The sequence below is a fragment of the Homo sapiens genome, chromosome 14, assembly GCF_000001405.40.
Source record: "Homo sapiens chromosome 14, GRCh38.p14 Primary Assembly".
Classification (NCBI taxonomy): Eukaryota; Metazoa; Chordata; class Mammalia; order Primates; family Hominidae; genus Homo; species Homo sapiens.
The window spans coordinates 81,731,235-81,750,098 of record NC_000014.9 but is presented as its reverse complement, the minus strand read 5'-3'; the positions used below and the strand labels follow the sequence as shown (position 1 = coordinate 81,750,098).

Below are 18,864 nucleotides of genomic sequence, written 5' to 3'. Positions count from 1 at the left end.
CTAAGCCACCGTGGGCACATTAGCCAGTCAGAGCATGTCAGTTTCCTTCCAAAAGAATACTACCTAAAACTCAGAAAAAGAACCCTTCTTTTTGACTCTTTACTGTGGGATATGAGCTTAACGCTGCCATCAGCCTATCATCATGAAGAACACAAACAGAAACAGAGTCTAGAGACGATGGCAGAGACAGCCCCAACAGTATACTTGGAGACCTTCCCTCTAGCAGAGGGAACCTCAGAGCTATCTTTGAACTTCCCATTTTTGTAAGCCAATAGTTCTCCCTTTGTCTTTCTTATGCAGTTTAACTTGGTTTCTTTCATTGAGAATTACAAGAATCATTAGGTAATAATAAGTTTATGCCTGTTTTGCAAATGATCAAAAAAGAAAAGCTATGCTACTTGTGAGTCTGCGGGTATCTCATTTTTCAGGAAGGTCACTTCTCAGCCTGAATTGTGGTATAGGCAAGGACTTTGGGGGTATACTTATAAAACATTATCCCTTCTGTATGGTTGGAAAGGGCAACTGAAGTTATAAGTAAATAAGAAAGAAACATAGACGTAGGAGAGAAAGAGGGAGGAAGTGAGGAAGAGAGGACGAAAGGAAGGAAATAAGTAAAAACAAAAGAAGAAACACTAAATTTAAATCAAAATCCAAATACAATTATACAGAATTCCAGGCGGTGGCTGCTAAAGTGCCTTTTGTCTAGGAAGCCTAAATTTCTTCAGAGATTAACTTACATGCAAAGAATATTAGACATAAGATAGTGCCACCAAGTCTGTTTGCATATTTACCAATATATATTTCAGTTTGAAAGACTACATTCTCTATCATGAAACTAGACCCACAAATTGACTTCTCAAATTACACTTTTTACAACAAAGGGTCTTCATGCCAACTTTGGAGCAGTAATTTCCCACTCCATCCAAAAACCATCCCATAGCTCTATTCCCTCCCACCATCTTGTGACTGACCTTATATCAATTACAGTTCAATTTCCTTTACAATTCCCTTCTGTCCCAATTCCCTTGCAAGTCCAGTAAACATCATGACTCCTCAGTCACAAAATACTTCAGAAAGAGAGTATGGCTCTGTCAAGCCCTGATAACCTTTCTTGCAGCAAGAATAATAGAATGGTGGCCCTCTTGAATCACTTCCATCAATTTCTATTAAACTGATGCTTCAAAGCTGTCTAGCCATTTATTTCTCCTTCCTGCTATGGAGAGTGTCAGTGGATTGGGGGAAGCGGGGAAGAGGTGGAACTCATGGGGTAGAGGAGCCTGGAAGAGACCACAAGTACAGCTGACTCGGGTTGCGGGGAATGGGAGAAAGGCATCAAAACCTTTGTGACCTGTGTGCGATGACCACAGTTGCAGAAACTTCACTTAATCTCACCAAGGCTATTAGAAGCTACATTTCCAGGTAGCATCTAGCTGCTCAGAAAGATAACTGCCTTGCAAACTTCAATATACCTTGAGAGAATTAGATTTTTCTAAGCCAAAGATTGAATTCCTCCTTCTTCCTCTCTTCTTCACTGTAACCAGGGCCTCATACAAGCAATTTTATTTTCCTTGTGCGCTGGGCAGATGACATCTTGCTAAGTCCGCCAGAAGCAGGGAAGAATGAAATACTAGGATCTGTGATGTTGCATGCTAGCCCACTTGCTTTGTTTACCTATTTCCAGTAAAGGGACTGCTGGAGAAAACTTTAATCACAAAAACTATAAAATGGAGTGCTCTCTGCAGCTTCCAGGAGCCAACCTATGTTGACAAAGGGTAGCATTTACTTTTAACCCTACACAATTTACTTTGATTCATTTCAGCTAATTGTAATTGTTTGCTGAACAGAGAGAGCACAGAGAAGGAGAAAGATTCATTACTAAGCCCTTATGCAATCAAAGGTCATCTCAAGGTTAGAGAAATAATGTACAATTCCACTTTTGCAGCTTCACCATCTGCAGATAGCATGTCCTCCATGAAACTTCAGCTAATTTCCCAGAGCCTGCTCCACCCTCCTGCGTGTTCCCACAACACTCTATTGCCATCTCCTCTATATGATTTCTGACTTTGTATTACAATTACCTGTTTGCATATCTATCTCTTCTCCACTGTAGTAGGAGTTCCTTAAAACCAGAGGCTGTATTTTTTGTTTATCTTTATCTCTAACTCCTGCATAATATCTACACATGGCTGATGCTCCACATATCTGGGTTGAATGAATGAGGATACCTAAATCAATTTCTCATATATTCCTTGCTGAAGGACTATAAATTTGTAAGCAAACAGGTTTTTTTCCACTCTGGAAACTAAATCAAATCAAACACATACACACACACACACACACACACGGAATCAATGAGTGCATATGTGGCAAGGACTCTTTAATATATTAATCATTTACAAAATAAAATAGTAAAATAATGGTTGACATTCAGATCACCATTGTCAGCTCAGAAGTTTAAAAAAAAAGTCCTTTAGCAAATCTTGAAACATCCCTTTAGGCTAGGTGTACCTGTTCTCTTGTTTCCCCAGGAGGTGGAAACATACATACTGCAGTGCCTTTCAACATCTGAAAATCAGCTGGTGCAATGGGCATCATAGGGTGCTGAGACTGTTCGCCAGAATCAAGAGAACCACTGATGAGGGTAAAAGGCCAGGCCAGAGGAGAGACCACAGACCAAATCGAGCTGTACACAGCTAACTTGGCCCCAGGGAAGTTGTCTCCAGAATGCGTCTTGCTCCTTTACCAAAAACAAACAAACAAACACCTTCCCAAACAAAAGGAACTGAAAACACCCTAGCCCATTGCTTTTTAGATTAAGAAGTAATGCTCAGAGAGGTGTGATCCTTGTCTTCCTGTACCACATCCTTGGAAAGTGGCAGCTATAGAGTTGGGTACTCAGGGCTTTCCCGGCACTGCCCTGACTCCTGCCACCTTCTACCCTGTCAAAGCCAGCCCTGCACTTATCATCAGTCCTCATGGAATGACTCTGAAATGGTTCAGCCCTGGTTTCTCCTCATCCCCCATCCCTCTCAGGCCCTATGCATTCAGGGTCCCTATGTTTTTATTCCCTCCCCGGAGATTGGTTCTTGATCTTTTTACTGACACTAGAGTGCAAAGGTCTCAAAGCCTTAAAGCCTGATGCTCTAGCTGTAAAATTCCCAGGAGATGAAAGAGGATTCAGACTTCAGAGGGTTTTCTGAGAATCCCTAAAATAGTAGTTCAGGGATTCCAAGGAAGGATGTCACTAGATTTGGCCTTAGTCCCCCAGGCAGGCTACTTTCTACAATAGGAGAGTAAAACCTGAAAATTTAGTAGAACTACAGGGTATTGCAGTAACATATAGGTCAGAGGTAAGGAAAAGCAGAAAGGGGGTGGAAGGATTAGAGACAACAAGTGAACACAACCCCCAAATGGGAAACGTCTGTTCTGATGGACATCTCTTCTTTCTCCTGGTGTTATGAAGAGACCATGTGCTTTCTTCTCAGAGAGACTTGGGTCTTTCATTTATTCACACATTTATCTGACAAATATTGCTCAAGTAGCCACTAGGCACTCAGAACTGTGCTAAATTTGATGTCTAATTTTTACTTGGTAAGATAACTAAATTTTTTAGAGGCATAAATGTTGGAAAAAATTAAAAAATTAGAATTTTGGACTACAGAAGCAATAAATATTGTAGTTATTGTTCATACTCTGGACTAAGTTAAATCAAGGTTCGAGTCCAGGCTCTGACACATTGTAGCTGTCAGCTGATCTCTTCCAACCTCAGTCTTCTCTTATGTAAAATGGAGACTGTGATCATTATTACCTCATTAATTGTTGCATGGATTAAATGAGATAATGGGTACAATGTACTTAGCACACTTTTGAGAGAAGAACAAACATGCAATACTATTAACAATTATTTAAATAGGAGGAGGCAAAATCTGAACTGAAGATAACCCTTTCTACTAAAAGGCAAGGATGGAATGGAAGTGACAAATTTCAATATCATTTCATTTTGTAGTAGTTTAAAGTGCCTGTAAAATTTAGTGAAGGAGAGAAAAGATAGATGCAAAATCAACACATAAAATGAAAGTTTGGATTATTTGGGGGACTCTCAATAACTATACTTTATTAACATAAAAATCAGGAATTGTTAGAACAGTGCTTTTTAAATTTAATACATGTGGATCTCCTGGGGATCCTATTAGGATGCAGGTTCTGATTTAGTAGGTCTGGGGTACAGCCTGAGATTCTGCATTTCTAACAAGCTCCTGGTGGCAGCAATACTGCTGGTCCCCAGATCACATTTTGAGTAGTAAGGGAGGTTAGATTAAATTAGAATTTAAGCTATATTCACATATACGTGAACTCACATATATATGTACAGTTAGTTCATTCTGAACATGCGGGGATATATGTATCATATATTGTATGCATACATATGCATATATTACATGTATACATATATAGATATAGATATTCCCTCATGCTAGCAATAAATTTGTAGCTGGGATTCCTATTTTCCTGCTCTGGTTCTGCCACAAATTCATATCATGGCTTAGTTTCTTCTTCTGGCTTCATTTCTTCATTTTAGAAAATGAGGGCATTGAACAACATGTTTTCTAAGTTTCCTCCCAGCTTTAGCTTCCTATTTGAACTTTTTTCCACTGGGAAGAAACAGAAATTTACTTATAATTGCATGGGATTTGAGAGATATAGAGAAAGTGATTTTTGATCCTCAGGTATTTTGTTCACGCTAGCCCTCAGGAAAATCCTCGCGGAGCCCACTTCTCTGGAGTCATTTGAAATATAGAAAATGTAAAACATTTTTCCTTATATGAATGTCAATGAAGGAACAATACATAGATATTATTTAGAAAAACAGCATTAGACTTTCATTCAGAAAAATTTAGTGTGGCTCAATGTCATAAGCAAAGCCAAAAACATTCAGCTTCATATCTTTAACAATTCCGAAGAATTTGCTGGGCCAGTGGGAGGATGAGAGTGGGGCCGGTGGGGGGAACTACAGCAAGAACCTTTAAAAAAGCACCATAGAGAGAAGAGTCACCTTGGCAAATACTCCAGCTCAGAGCATCTCTTTAGCCAGCATAAACACTTAGACACACTTGTTCCTACAACACACTTATGCAAATTGTTCACATTTTCTTCTTACAAGTTCTGTCAAGTTTTTATCATTTATGAGCTAACCAGCTTCATGGCTAGGCTTTCACCTTGTCATATTTTTCTGCATTTTCAGAGCTAATCCAGTCTGCCTAACATCTTTCCTGGCTGCACTGTATAACATAAAAATGGAACCATTAAAAGCATTGTCTCTGATAGGAAGGGAATCCATAACTAGGCAAAGGGATAATGCTATTGGTGAGGGAATCAAGACCCTTCCCAAATCCATGGACCTTATGTTTTCTTTCTTTTAAAAAAAAAAAACTGTTCTTTTTCTGACACTGCAAAGTAGATGCAGCTACAAAATAATTTTTTAAATATTTTGACTAGCTTTTATCAGAAAAAAAAAAGACTTAAACGATACTTGAGGTACATGCCTGTAATCCCAGCACTTTGGGAGGCCGAGGCGGGCCTCCTGAGGTCAGGAGTTTGAGGCCAGCCTGGCCAACATGGTGAAACCCCAGCTCTACTAAAAATATAAAAATTAGCCGGGCATGGTGGTGCACGCCTGTATTCCCAGCTACTCGGGAGGCTGAGGCATGAGAATCGCTTGAGCTCGGGAGGCAGAGATTGCACTGAGCCGAGATCATGCCACTGCACTCCAGCCTGGATGACAGAGTGAGACCCTATCTCAAAAAAAAAAAAAAAAAAAAAAAAGGTATTTGAGTGACCTTGCCCAAGTTGTCTGGACAATTCTTAACTCTAAAATACCCTCCTTCGGGCATGCTGCTAGTACTGGCCCAGGCTATGAATGGCCAGCAAAGGTGCTGGGTGATTTTGCATACAGACAGTATATGTGTCCATTTCAGAGGTTATGTTAAGAATCAACATTCTCTTCACTGTGTTAAGAGTAATAATAAGTAAATAAGCAAAGGAATTGATATTTACTCCAAAATTTAAATGAGCTTTTATTTAAGCACCTGGAGCTATATCCACATCTGAGATTTAAGTCACTAAAAAGCCTAATGATAAACAAAACTAAATGAGAGATGTGGCTAAATTAGACATATCTATACATGTGCACATAATTACACAGAATATGTATGTATAATTTGCCTTTAACAGTATTTCCGTTTATACCTGAAATTCCCAAGTGTCTTCAAACAAGGACAGCTTTGTGATGTCATGCCTTTAATGGGGCCCTGTTACCATGGGGACATCAGAGCTCCTTCTCAGAATAGCATTTAGTTCTGACAATTGAAGAAGCTGGAGAATTTCCACTAAGCCAACATACTTAGTATCTTCCAGCACCTACAAATTTGAAAGTTATCCAGTTCTTAAGTATTGCCATTTGGCCTGAGAAGATATTGACTTCTGGCCATGTTTCAAAGAAGTGCACATATATAAATATCTATTCAATCCTTTATCTTCCAATATCCTATAACATGGAAATGTATATTGCTAGGTCCTCTTTATTCAACAGCAACTGAGTAGAACCCATTAATCCCTTCACTGGTGCATTCATTCAGGAAATACATTTTGAGTGCCTTGAAACTATCTCCAATGCCCAGCATAGCCCATAGCATCTAGACTAATATATGTGTGTGTACATATATATGAATATATATAGCAATATATATATATACTTCCTACCTTCAATGACCTCGAAGTACAGCAAATAATTATTATGTGCTAAATGATGGAAACACAAAGATATACTATGAAGAGAAGTAGGAGTTGGAGGACCAACTGTGTACAGAGACGAGATCATGGAAGATCAACTGAGCGCCTCTGGCAAAACATCAAGAGCAAAGAGAAGATGGCCCATCATAAGCCAAAGCAATTAAATTCCTCTCCCTCTGGCCACACCAAAGAGCATTTAACATGCATCATGGTCTCAGGTCAAGAGTATATTCAATAGTTGACAGTGATGTGGCCTCTAGCTTTCCAGAAGGTGAGTCATGTCTTACAAATCATACCATAAGCAACCAGAGAACCAAGGCCAGAGCCAACAGAAATCCAACCAAGTGGGCAGAGATAATGGTTTACCTGAGACAAAGATGGGAGGAATTTCCTAATTGTTCCCAGTATGCAGTACTTACCATAGAGACAAATAAGCTGCCAAAAGACCAACATCTCTCAATGTCTTACAAACCCATCTAGGTCTCACTGCCCAATGGAATGAAGTAAAATAAACTTAGTAGACTGAGGTTACCTCGGAATTCTCAGTGCCCACTGCATGGTTTTTATGTAGCATTTTCTATAGCTAAATTTCCTCATATACTTTAAGCACTTACCAGAGCGCTTAGCCTATATTTTGGACATTTCCTAGAACTGCTGAAACAAGAGAAAGCAAGTTGGGATTATGTTGGGGAGAAATAATAGATTTCTTCCTGCCTGACATTCAAAGCCCTGGTGATTTTAGCAAGGTAAAGTGGTTCAAAATGCCCCACTAGAGCTCTGGCTCTGCAATGCAAGCAGGCAAATTGCAAAATGTTTAGATTGTTAGTCTATTTAGAAAAAAATTTAACTGCATATCTCATTTGATTCTGCTTTGCCTGAAGGTCAACACAGTATAAAGATGAAGGCCTTGGTTTCTAAAAATAAGGAATCTGGCTCTAATAATGGTACTTCCCAGATTAATAGCTTAGTAGCTGAATAATCTTGATCTTGATCTTTAATCTCCCTAGGCCTCAGTTTCTCCATCTGAAAATGGGGCTAATAAAAATAGCTTATTCATATTGAGTGTTTTCTCTATGCCTGTCACTATCATACTAAACATTAATGCATTTAACCCTCTCCACACCCAATAAGAAAGATACTTCTTATTACTTTCATTTTGCAGATGAAAAAATCATGTGAATAGAGAGATTGAGAACTTTCCCAGACCACATGTGTAGAAAGTGGTAGGGCTGGGATTGGAGGTCAGGCAACTGGGATCTACAGCCTTACTGCTAGTCACTATATTGAATTTCTAAAATAATACCACATTTCCATTAAGAAGCTAAATTGAGCTAATTATATATTTGTCTACTGGGACTGCCATAACAAAACACCAGAGACTGGGTGATTTAAACAACAAAAATATACACTCTCACAGTTCTGGAAGGCAGAAGTCTAAGACCAAGGTGTCATCAGGGTTGGTTTCTAGTGGGGCCTCTTGTACTGGCTTACAGAGGACCTCTGTCTTGCAGTGTCCTTATGTGGCTCTTCTTCTGTGCTCATGCAAGGACAGACAGAGAGAGATCTCTGGAGTCTCTTTTTCTCTTACTATGACACCAGCCTTATCAGATTAGGGCCCTACCCCTATGACCTCATTCAATCTTTTTTTTTTTTTTTTTTTTTGGAGACAAAGTCTTGCTCTGTCGCCCAGGGTGGAGTGCAGTGGCACATCACAGCTCACTGCTACCTCTGTCTCCCAGGTTCAAGCAATTCTCCTGCCTCAGCCTCCCTAGTAGTTGGGATTACAGGCACTCACCACCACAGCCGGCTAATTTTTGTATTTTTAGTAGAGGTTGCACCATGTTGGCCAGGCTGGTCTTGAACTCCTGACCTCAGATGATCCACCCTCTTCAGCCTCCCAAAGTGCATGGGATTACAGGCATGAGCCACTGCACCCAGCCCTTCATTCAATCTTAGTTACCTGCCTAAAGTCCCTATCTCCAAAAACAGTCACATTGGAGGCTAGGGTTTCAACATATATATTTTACTGGGGACATAATTCAGTCCATCATACTATGTAAAGAATTTAGCATAGTAATTAATACACATAATAATTATTCACATAATGTCTTAGAATGTTCAGTATGCTATGACAATATACCATAAACTGAGTGGCTTATAAACAACAGAAAAATCTCACAGTCGTGGAGGCTGGGAAGTTCAAGGTCAAAGTACCAGCAGATTAAGATGTCTGGTGAGACTTATTTTCTGGTTCATGAACGGTGCCTTCTTGCTGTGTCCTCACATGGTGAAAGGAACTAGTTAGGTCTCTGGAATCTCTTTTATAAGGGCACTAATTCCATTCACCAGCACTCCTCCTTAATGACCTAATTGCCTCCCAAATGCTCCACCTATTAGTTCCAACACATTCATGATGAGGTTTTAACATATTAATTTGGAGGGGACACAAACCTTAGTATATTGTATCCACTTAACAAATAGTACCTATTGGTATTTCATGGATTTATTTGGCAAACTCTAGAAATTGTCAAGTTTATGGAAACATATGGAAATCAGAAATTGGAAATTTTGTTTGCTAATGCCATTTGAACAAATCAATTAATTTCTGCCCACCTCCTTTTCTTAAGCTGTGAATTATGATACACCCATCAAACATTTGCATGACCACATGTTTATAATAATATTCTTACAAGAATAATAGAGTCTAAAAAAGAGAGCAACTTTTGTAGGAACTAGGGTTTTTTTGTTCTGTTTTGTTTTGTTTATCACAACTACTTATATTTTGGAGGCGCTAGTCGTTCTTGATCTTCAGGCCTACATTTATCTAAAATCCTGATTCATGGAAAATTTAGGCCCTCTTCTTTTATTGGGCTGTCTGAAGTTTGTCCAGGTTACATATCTATATCCCAGCACTTCCCTCTGCTGTTCTTCACTTTCAACGGGGAGCACATTATAAACGCACCTCTTGTGAAGCTTCTTAAATATGCTGCAAATTCATAATCTATATAAAACTGATTGTTGCTGTCTTTTCAGAGAGGAAGTCACTGTCCATCATACAGTGCTTTAATTTGAGGTAAGTGGGATCAAAGAGATTGGCTGTGTCTACTTTTAATGTAGTTTATTTCTTTTAATCTCCTTTTTGTCCCATCTGTTTTATGATTGATCATACTAACTCAGGTCCCAAGTGAAAGCTGGTAATTTTAGATTTTCAGAAAAGTAGGACAAATTATCCCTTTACTTACAAGGATGCATGTATCAGATGGACCTACTACAACGTAAGTTTTCCCTCTCTCTGGCCTTCCAATGCTGAAAGTTGTGTCCTGCCTAAGGTTGACTTCCTAAGAAATTACATGTAAATGTCAGCTTCCTCTCAATATTGGACACTCATGATATCTTCCTTCATATAAAGATGAACCATACCCATATTTTTTTATTTAAGAGAAGGAATTTTCAGACAACTTAGGCAAGGTCACCTCAAGTATCTTTTAAGTCCTTTTTTTTTTTTCTGGTAAAAAGCTAGTTAAAATATTCAAACCATTTTTTATTTTATAGTTGCATCTATTTCTCCTCCTCCTCAACACATGCTAACATCAAGGAGTTCAAAGTATTATGAGAAGCAATATGATGCAGTTGTGAAAATATTTTTGCCAAGAGTTTTTAAAAAGTGAACTAATTTATATTGCGAGGTAGACATGATATTATATTACCTGAATGTGAGAAAGTGAGTTAGGCGACTTTGAAGGGTGTTTTTCTATCTTAGATGGCCACAAAGACCATCCATGTGAGGAGATGAATAAACAAAGCTGAATCCAGCCAAAGCTTTGCTCACTAACCTGTGTACCCTGGCTTAAGGTTGTGTCCACCTGGAAGAAAAGCACATTTTCTGATTCACATAAAGCTACCATTAGGGCTAAGGAGACTCTGCTCCAACCCTACATGTCCATGAATTTAGATTTTGTTCACCCCACTTTTTAATTGGTAATAACAAGTATTCTATTCTGCAACCATGTAATAAGAATCGTTATGTGTCATGGTCAATGTCCCCTATTCTTCCTGAAATCTGTGAAATCATTAGTGCTACTTAGCAACTCTGATTCTGGGGCATCATTCCAAACTAAATACAGAATGATGATCTCTGTACCTATGGCTTGATGGAGTAAGAACAGTTCACAGCACTGAATGTTGTCGACTCATCAAAAGCATTTTTTAATCTGCAGACTAAGAAACATTTCCAGATCTGAACCTTCATGTATCATGACATCATGTTTATTTATGATACATTTTTAGTTCTCCCAGCTAAATTTCTTTCCCAAATGGATTCATCTTAAAGCAGCTACTAGGGGAAGAGTCAGAACACCTGAATTCAAGTGTTGGCTTTACAACTTCTCACTTTTTGACCTTGAATGCAAGTCATTTGAGTTCTCAGGGCATTGCTTCCCTCTGAACAGCATGAACAGTGAAGAACAACTAGCCTCTGACTCCACAGGGATGTTGTGAAAATAAATGAGATGTAGGTCTAGAGTGTCACTTTAAGCTCTTAGGAATGAAAGAGCTTAAAGAGATATAAGGTTTCCGTAGTTATTCTTTATTTTTTCAGCCTTACAAGTGAGAAAGGTTCCACCTTGGTAAGTTTTGAAGAATACCGCCTCGCTTACAAGCCCCCCCAGATCTGTGGCTTTGCCTCTTCTACATTCACAAAGTCTATTGTAATTCTGACTACTGACTCAGTGAAATTTTAAAAACTCTGCCACATACTTGGAAAACAAAGAAGAGTGGTCACACTCTATGTGGGACAAATTATCTGCCACCAGTTGGACATCACACTATACAGGCTCCTACACTGGCTGTTAAAAAAAAAAAATTCTAACAAGATATTGTCACATTGCAGAAAAGAAGTTGCTAGGATAGACTTCCCACTCAGAATATTGATCTGATAGAGTCTAGAAGTTCATAGGGAATAAACTTCCAGCACTTTCTTTAGGAGAACTAAAACTATATTTTGCCAATGTCAGAGATACACAAGGTAGTTTCACAGGTAGTTGTGAAAGAGAATCACAAATAACCAGCTAAAACTCCTGATCTTCTCTCTGCCCCCAGATACAGAGTCTCTGACAGGTGATATAGATAAGTACTGTATAACCTGTCACTTTATCTTCCTTAAGAGGGCAGCATAATCCATGGAGCTCACATAAACTCTTCTGTGGCTTCGATCCCATTCTGACATTCAGGAGAAAAGTTGACAGTCATAGATTAAAGGAAAACACTATAGTGAAGAGATATTTACAATAGGTAGCTCTGACTAAAGATGTGTTTTGGCAAGAATTAGCTGGAAAGACACATTGGCATGCTGGCATAGATTTCTAAGCTAGCGGATCAAACTAACATCTTTGCCTTGATCTCATTGGGGCCCAGGTTGACTTACATGCTTTGATTGTCTTCATTCATTCATTCCATAAATATTCATTGAGCACTGTAATGGAAATTGCTGGTAGTATCCCCAAATCTATTCTCACCTCCTGTATTACTCAGGGGTCTCCAGAGAGAGAGAACCAATAGGATATATACAGATAAATATAAATATATGAGAGGGGATTTATTAGGGGAATTGGCTCACGTGATTACGGAGGCTGAGAAGTCCCATGACAGGCGATCTGCAAGCTGCAAACCCTGGGATGCTGACGGCGTGGCTCAGTCCAAGACCAAAAGCCTCAGAACCAGGAAAGCCAATGGTGTATTTCTCAGTCCAAAACCAAAGGTCTGAGAATCCTGAAGGGGCCTTCTTGTTAAGCACTGGAGTCCAAAGGCTGGGGAGCCCGGAGTTATTGTCCTAGAATAGGAGAGGAAGAAGTTATCCCAGCCCCAGCAGCAAAATTAACAGACTCACTTTTTCTCTATTTTTGTTTTCTCCCAGCCCCCAGTAGATTGGATGGTTCATGCCAACATTGAGGGCAGATCTTCTCCATCTAATCCTTCAGACTCATATCTAATCTCCTCTGATAACACCCCCACAAACACACCCCAAAATCATGCTTTACTAAGTTGCTAGGTATTCCTGAATTCAGTCAAGTTGACACCTAAAATGAACCATCGCACTTCCTTCCTGAGCAGGTAGCTGTCCAACTAGAACCTACATTTTCCAGTTGATCTTACAGGTGTGTGATCTAAGTATGCACTAATGGCAACTGAGTGGAAAGAGTGGGGGCAATTTCAGCATCACTTACCTTGAAGAAAATCCTTGACCTGGACTTCTCACTCTTGCCTACTTACTGAAAATGGCAAAGTCAAGCCTACCCATCAGCCATAAACTATTATGTGAGAGGAAAATAAATATCTGTGTTTTAGAGTCCCTTTGTTACATCAGCATAGCCTGCACCTTTACAAATAGGTGTGCCATCTTGGTACTAGATTCTGTGCAATATGATGACAATTCTGCTTAGCAAAACACACATAGTGCATGTCCCCATGGAAAGTATAATCCAATGTCTACCATAATCTTCTGTCTGGGAACAAAACATGTGAGACAAGTGTGGCCATATTCATCAATCAAAATAAACCAAGACAGGGAACAAGAGCAAAAGAGTGGGTAAGAACCTGGACTTCAGTGCCATGCAGGTGTAAATTCAAGCTCCTGCAATATCTTTTACTAACCACGTCTTTGGGCAAATCATTGAACTTTTGTAAACCTGATTTTCATTCTTGTTAACTGAAGATAATAGAAATAATAATATGTACCTAATAAGGTTGTGATGATGATCTAAAGAATTAGGTATGTAAATTGCTTAACCTGGGGCTTGAGTTTACCAAGTGTGATTATCAGAGTTCAATTTTTCCACTACTCTTGTTATTTCTAAATTCCATCAGGAGGGGCTTAAAGAAAAGATAGAAACATCATTATCTCATTCAAGCTAAATGAGGCAGGTGTCATCATTCCAATTTTGTAGATAAGAAAACTGAATCTTAGAGGGGCCACTACTTAGTAAGTAGTGTCTAATTCCAAAGCCCATACTACTACACCAGATGTATGACAATCAGGCCTAGAAATCACTGCTCAGCTATTAGTCCAATGAGGTTAATTCTTCAAGGTTACATTACAATTGTTAGTTTCTTTCCACCGCCTAACATACAAGTAAAACCCTTCTGAGAGTAAAGTTTCCAGGTCTGGACCTCAGTGCATAAGTTAGTACCCTCTTCTGTGTTCCTAGGGCACTTTATATCTCTGTTATCATTTAGTCACTATCTTATAATTGTCACTATCTTATAATTGTCACTATCTTATAATTCTTTTTACTCATCTGACATCCTCCACTGGAGTGTGAGCACCTGAAATTTGGATTTCTTAAATATCTCTGTCTCAGGACTTAGCATGATGCCTGGTATGTACTAAGCATTCTATGATTAACTGTTGTAAAGAATTGCCATATGAATAAATGAATAGACATTAAAAACTGGAGTGTTAGTAACCTACCTATTAAGGTGGTTATTTGTTTGATGCAAAGGAAGTGGAGGCATTCAGTTTTGAAAATAAACGATTGGCAATAAAATATTTAATAAAATTCATCAAGCATAAGAAATTAGTACACAGTAGTCCCTTGATGGAAATAAATGTTTTCAAAAAGTCATATGCTGATTGCTTTGACCTCAAAGACAAAATGAAACGTTATGCATCATCTGTAAGGGTCCACTTAGCAAAAGCATTTTTAACCTCAATGGGAACTGAAATATTGTACAATTGTGTTAGAACAATTGTAGCAAACAATATCCTTGAAACAGCAAAGAGAAACACAAAACAAAAATCAAGATTCTGTTCTGTGAGAGTAGATTTAATTAGAGAAAGATAAGGAAGCAAACGTTGACTTTCAAAGACCCTGAATGCATTTACTGTGTATTTTCATTGGGTTTAGAAGTTCAAGGCACTGGTTCTTTATTCTCCCTAATTCCACATCAAAGCTTCCAGGTTTCACTCTCTTTACTATAGAGATATTGCCAGCAATACTCTATATAGAATAGTCTGGATTAGCCCCCTTTTTCTCACAAGTGGAACAAAGACAGGGAGAAAAATATTTCTAAGATAACTGGAAAAGAATGGGAAACAAAAATAAATCTGTGATTTGTCTAAAGAAAGTTAAAGGAGGAGTGAGTAAACTGGCGAGAAAGATAGTGGCTGGTGTGAAGCTTACTGACCTACAATGAGGGAAATATTAAGGAAATGAAGAGATGAGCAAAAGCTTCATATATTTAAAAAGGATAGAAACAGATAGCAGGAAATACAATGACTCACAGTATTCTTCCATGCTGGCTGACAAATAATATCATCGGCCCAAGGAATTTTGTTTGTTATTGAGAACAAACAGGAGGAGCAGATACCTTGTTGTAGGGGAGGAAAGGAGATGTGATAGAGAATTTTTCATTTCCATAAATAGGTTAATTACACCTTGATTTATTTTTAAATTCACAGAGGCTGAACTGATGTCTGTGGAGAAAAGAACACGAAGGAATAATGTAATATGAAACTCCCTAACATGATACATATACAAAGACTATTGAGAAATCAATGTGGAAAATGCAAAACTAAGGGAGAAAGCATTTTGAACCACTCATCTAAGAATATGGTCAGTATTAAAAAGACAAGAATATCAGAAAAATCTCCCAAGTTATGTTCATAGGCTTAGCAGAATAAAGGTAAGGCTTACTAGTTAAATGAATGAGAGAGGAGAATTTTTTCTAAATCTTAGAAAATGTTCAGGCTCTCCCATCTTTCTCCACACCCCTCATGAGCATCTCTGTAAAAACTGCCATCAGGACCAAAGACAGCAGCTCTCAGTTTAACGTAGGTGCCAGTGACCAAACTACCGCTCAAGGAAATAAGAGAGGATACAAACAAATGGAAAAACATTCCATGCTCATGGATAGGAAGAATCAATATCGTGAAAATGGCCATACTGTCCAAAGTAATTTATAGATTCAATGCTATTCCCATAAAGCTACCATTGACTTTCTTGATAGAATTAGAAAAAACCACTTTAAATTTCATATGGAACCAAAAAAGAGCCTGTATACCAAAGACAATCCTAAGCAAAAAGAACAAAACATCACGCTACCTGACTTCAAACTATACTACAAGGCTACGGTAACCAAAACAGCACGGTACTGGTACCCAAACTGATATATAGACCAATGGGACAGAACAGAGGCCTCAGAAATAACACCACACATCTACAACCATCTGATCTTTGACAAACCTGACAAACACAAGCAATGGGAAAAGAATACCCTATTTGATAAATGCTGTTGGGAAAACTGGTTAACCGTATACAGAAAACTGAAACTGGACCCTTTCCTTACACCTTATACAAAAATTAACTCAAGATGGATTAAAGATTTAAATATAAGACCTAAAATCATAAAAATCCTTTGTATCCCAAGTGCTCAGCACACAGTCTCTGACACTAAACATTTGTTGAACTAATTAAATAGAGGAAAGAGAATTAAAATGCCATGGTGAAAAAGAAGCAGCATCTCTGCTGTCTACCCAACAGTGATCTGTATCTGTTTCTCACTTCTGCATCTTATGAAGTCATAAAATTAAAAGTTTTGGGAACCCTGTATGAGAGTAAGGTAGGAAGATAAATAAGAAAAGTGTGATCACAAAGTGTAATCACTTTATATTACTGGTGCTTAACAGTTAGAATTAACATTCTCTTTTATGCTAATTGTGATGTTTTCCATTTTATATGTGTACATAATTTGTTTAGCTGTTTCTCAGATTATTGTACCAGTCTCTTAGCCAAGGGTCTTGCTTCTGGTCTCACCACTTCATCATTACACCTCCTCCTAATTCATTCTTTGCCTTACAGTTTGTTATATTTCAAAAGTGCAAATTCTATTACGTTACTTGCATGAATAAAACTCTTTATTGGTTAACAATTGGTCTCAGGATACAGTGCTAGCTCCTTGGCAGAGCACCTGAGAGTCTCGTGAAATCATTTGTGAAATAAAAAATGCCAAAACAAAAAAGTTAAAGAAAAAGTGCCAAAACAAAAAAGCTAGAGAAAATCTAGCCCTTGATCATAACATGTTGCCATTTTTTAACAATAGCTTGACAATGTTATAACAGCTTATGAAACATTTTTTTCAAAAACATGACCAATAGCTTCATACTCCATCTATCACCTTTACCAAAATATAACTGAAGTTTATCCTTAATTTTTTTCATAAAGGGGATTATTTTACCTGAATTCCTACTAGATACAAATTTAGTGAAAATGTGTATCATAAGTTAGTGCATTCATATTCAATTCAGGCATTGTCTCTTCTACAAGACCAGGCAGTTGAAGTCTGGGCTATGTATCCCTCCTCTTCATATCATAGGGCCCTGCAACTATTTATAATAATACATTTATCTCATTATATCAAATTATTGTTTTAGGTGTCTGCCCTCTAGTCCTATGTGCAACTTAAGGAAAAGTGCAAAGAACTTTATTTTCAATCATTCTCTATGCTCTCAAAATGTGCTGCTTGATGGGAGACATAACTATGATTAAGACATTATTCCTTACCTCAAAAAGTTAAATCTTAAATTGTGAGAGAGAGAAGAAGAAACTTATAATACTGTATCATGAGAGAGTAGGCTCTGATGTTAGTGCTGCCGCTTCTATAACACTGGGAAAATTAATTAAATGTAGCTGAAAATGCAATGACAGTGATAATACCTACTTCAAAGAATTGTTTTAATGATTAAATGATGATGATGATGATGAAAAGTTGTTCTTGCCTATAGTAAGTGCTAAATAAATATGACAATCTGAACAAAGCTATAATAAAATACTGGTGGTGTGTGCACAAACACTGACAAAACAAATAAGGAGAGGTGCATAGATTTATTATATTTTAACCTAAAACTTAACTGAGAAAGATATAAAGGTATGATACATGTTCTAGTGAATTGTGAAATAAATCATTTTATTTACCAAGAGATGGTACTTGATTAAGCCAATGTGAACTGAAGCAATGTAGGAAGAAAGTAATGGAAGACTTCCCAAAGGAAATGGTATCTCGGTTGAGACAGGAAAGATGAGTAAGCATTAACTACACAAAGAGGGGCAGAAGGCAGCCCAGGTCGGGGCTGCCTTTTTCAAAGACCTAGAGATAAGAAACCATGTGATGCTTTCAGGTAATTGCAAGCAGTTCTGTTTAACTGTGACATCAAATCAGAGGTACGCTGAGTGTGGCCCAAGGTGAGGATAGAGGGCAAGCCAAAGCCCTCTCACGAGAATCTCAGGTGCTCCACCAAGGAGTTGGCACTGTATCCTGAGTCCAACGGATAACCACTAAAGAGTTTTATTCATGCAAGTAACATAATAGAATTTGCATTTTTTAAATATAACAAACTGTAATGCAAAGAACGAATTAGGAGGCGGTGTAATGATGAAGTGGTGAGACCAGAAGCAAGACCCTTGGCGAAGACAGTGGTACAATAATCTGATAAACAGCTAATAGTGGCCTGTATACTTTGTATCCCAAGTGCTCAGTGCACAGTCTCTGAACCTAAACATTTGTTTAACTAATTAAATAGCAGGAAAAAGAATTAATATACCATAGTGAAAAAGAAGCAGCATCTCTGCTGTCTACCCAACAGTTATCTATATCTGTTTCTCACTTCTGCATCTTATGGAGTCATAAAATTAAAAGTTTTGGGAACCCTGTATGACAGTAAGGTAGGGAGATAAAATGAGAAAAGTGTGATCACAATGTGTAATCACTTTATATTACTGGTGCTTAACAGAATTAACGTCCTCTTTTATGCTAATTGTGATGTTTTCCATTTTATATGTGTGCATAATTTATGTTTCTTGGGACATGATTTGACTTACAATCTGCCCAAATTCATGAGATGGCACAAGATACTAGTGGGTATAAATCTACTTATACTAATGGAAATACATATGCATATTTCAATCTCCATATTTGTACATCACACCTAATTTAAAAAGAAAAGGCTGCAATATTTTTAAAAACATATTGGTTACTTAAATCCTCTGTCTCTTTCATAGTATCTATTTCTGGCTCCATAAAAAT

At 38.0% G+C, this 18,864-nt stretch overlaps 2 long non-coding RNA genes across 6 annotated transcripts in view; one reads left to right on the top strand and one right to left on the bottom strand.

Annotated features, from left to right (window-relative positions):
* Window positions 1–12,902, bottom strand: part of LOC107984704 (uncharacterized) — a 336,950-nt gene extending 324,048 nt beyond the window's left edge. For 3 of the 5 annotated variants that reach the window (XR_001750835.1, XR_001750837.1, XR_001750838.1), the window contains exon 1: window positions 12,404–12,902. This is a non-coding gene — a long non-coding RNA (uncharacterized LOC107984704). Of the gene's footprint in view, window positions 1–6,246; window positions 6,867–12,403 lie in introns of those variants that run through there. The other 2 variants (XR_007064292.1, XR_001750836.3) reach the window with 1 other exon arrangement.
* LINC02311 (long intergenic non-protein coding RNA 2311) lies at window positions 6,961–15,487 on the top strand. Its single transcript, NR_146498.1, has 3 exons — window positions 6,961–7,060; window positions 9,823–9,862; window positions 15,245–15,487. It is a non-coding gene; the product is annotated as a long intergenic non-protein coding RNA 2311 (long non-coding RNA).
* Window positions 15,488–18,864: the final 3,377 nt, after the last annotated feature.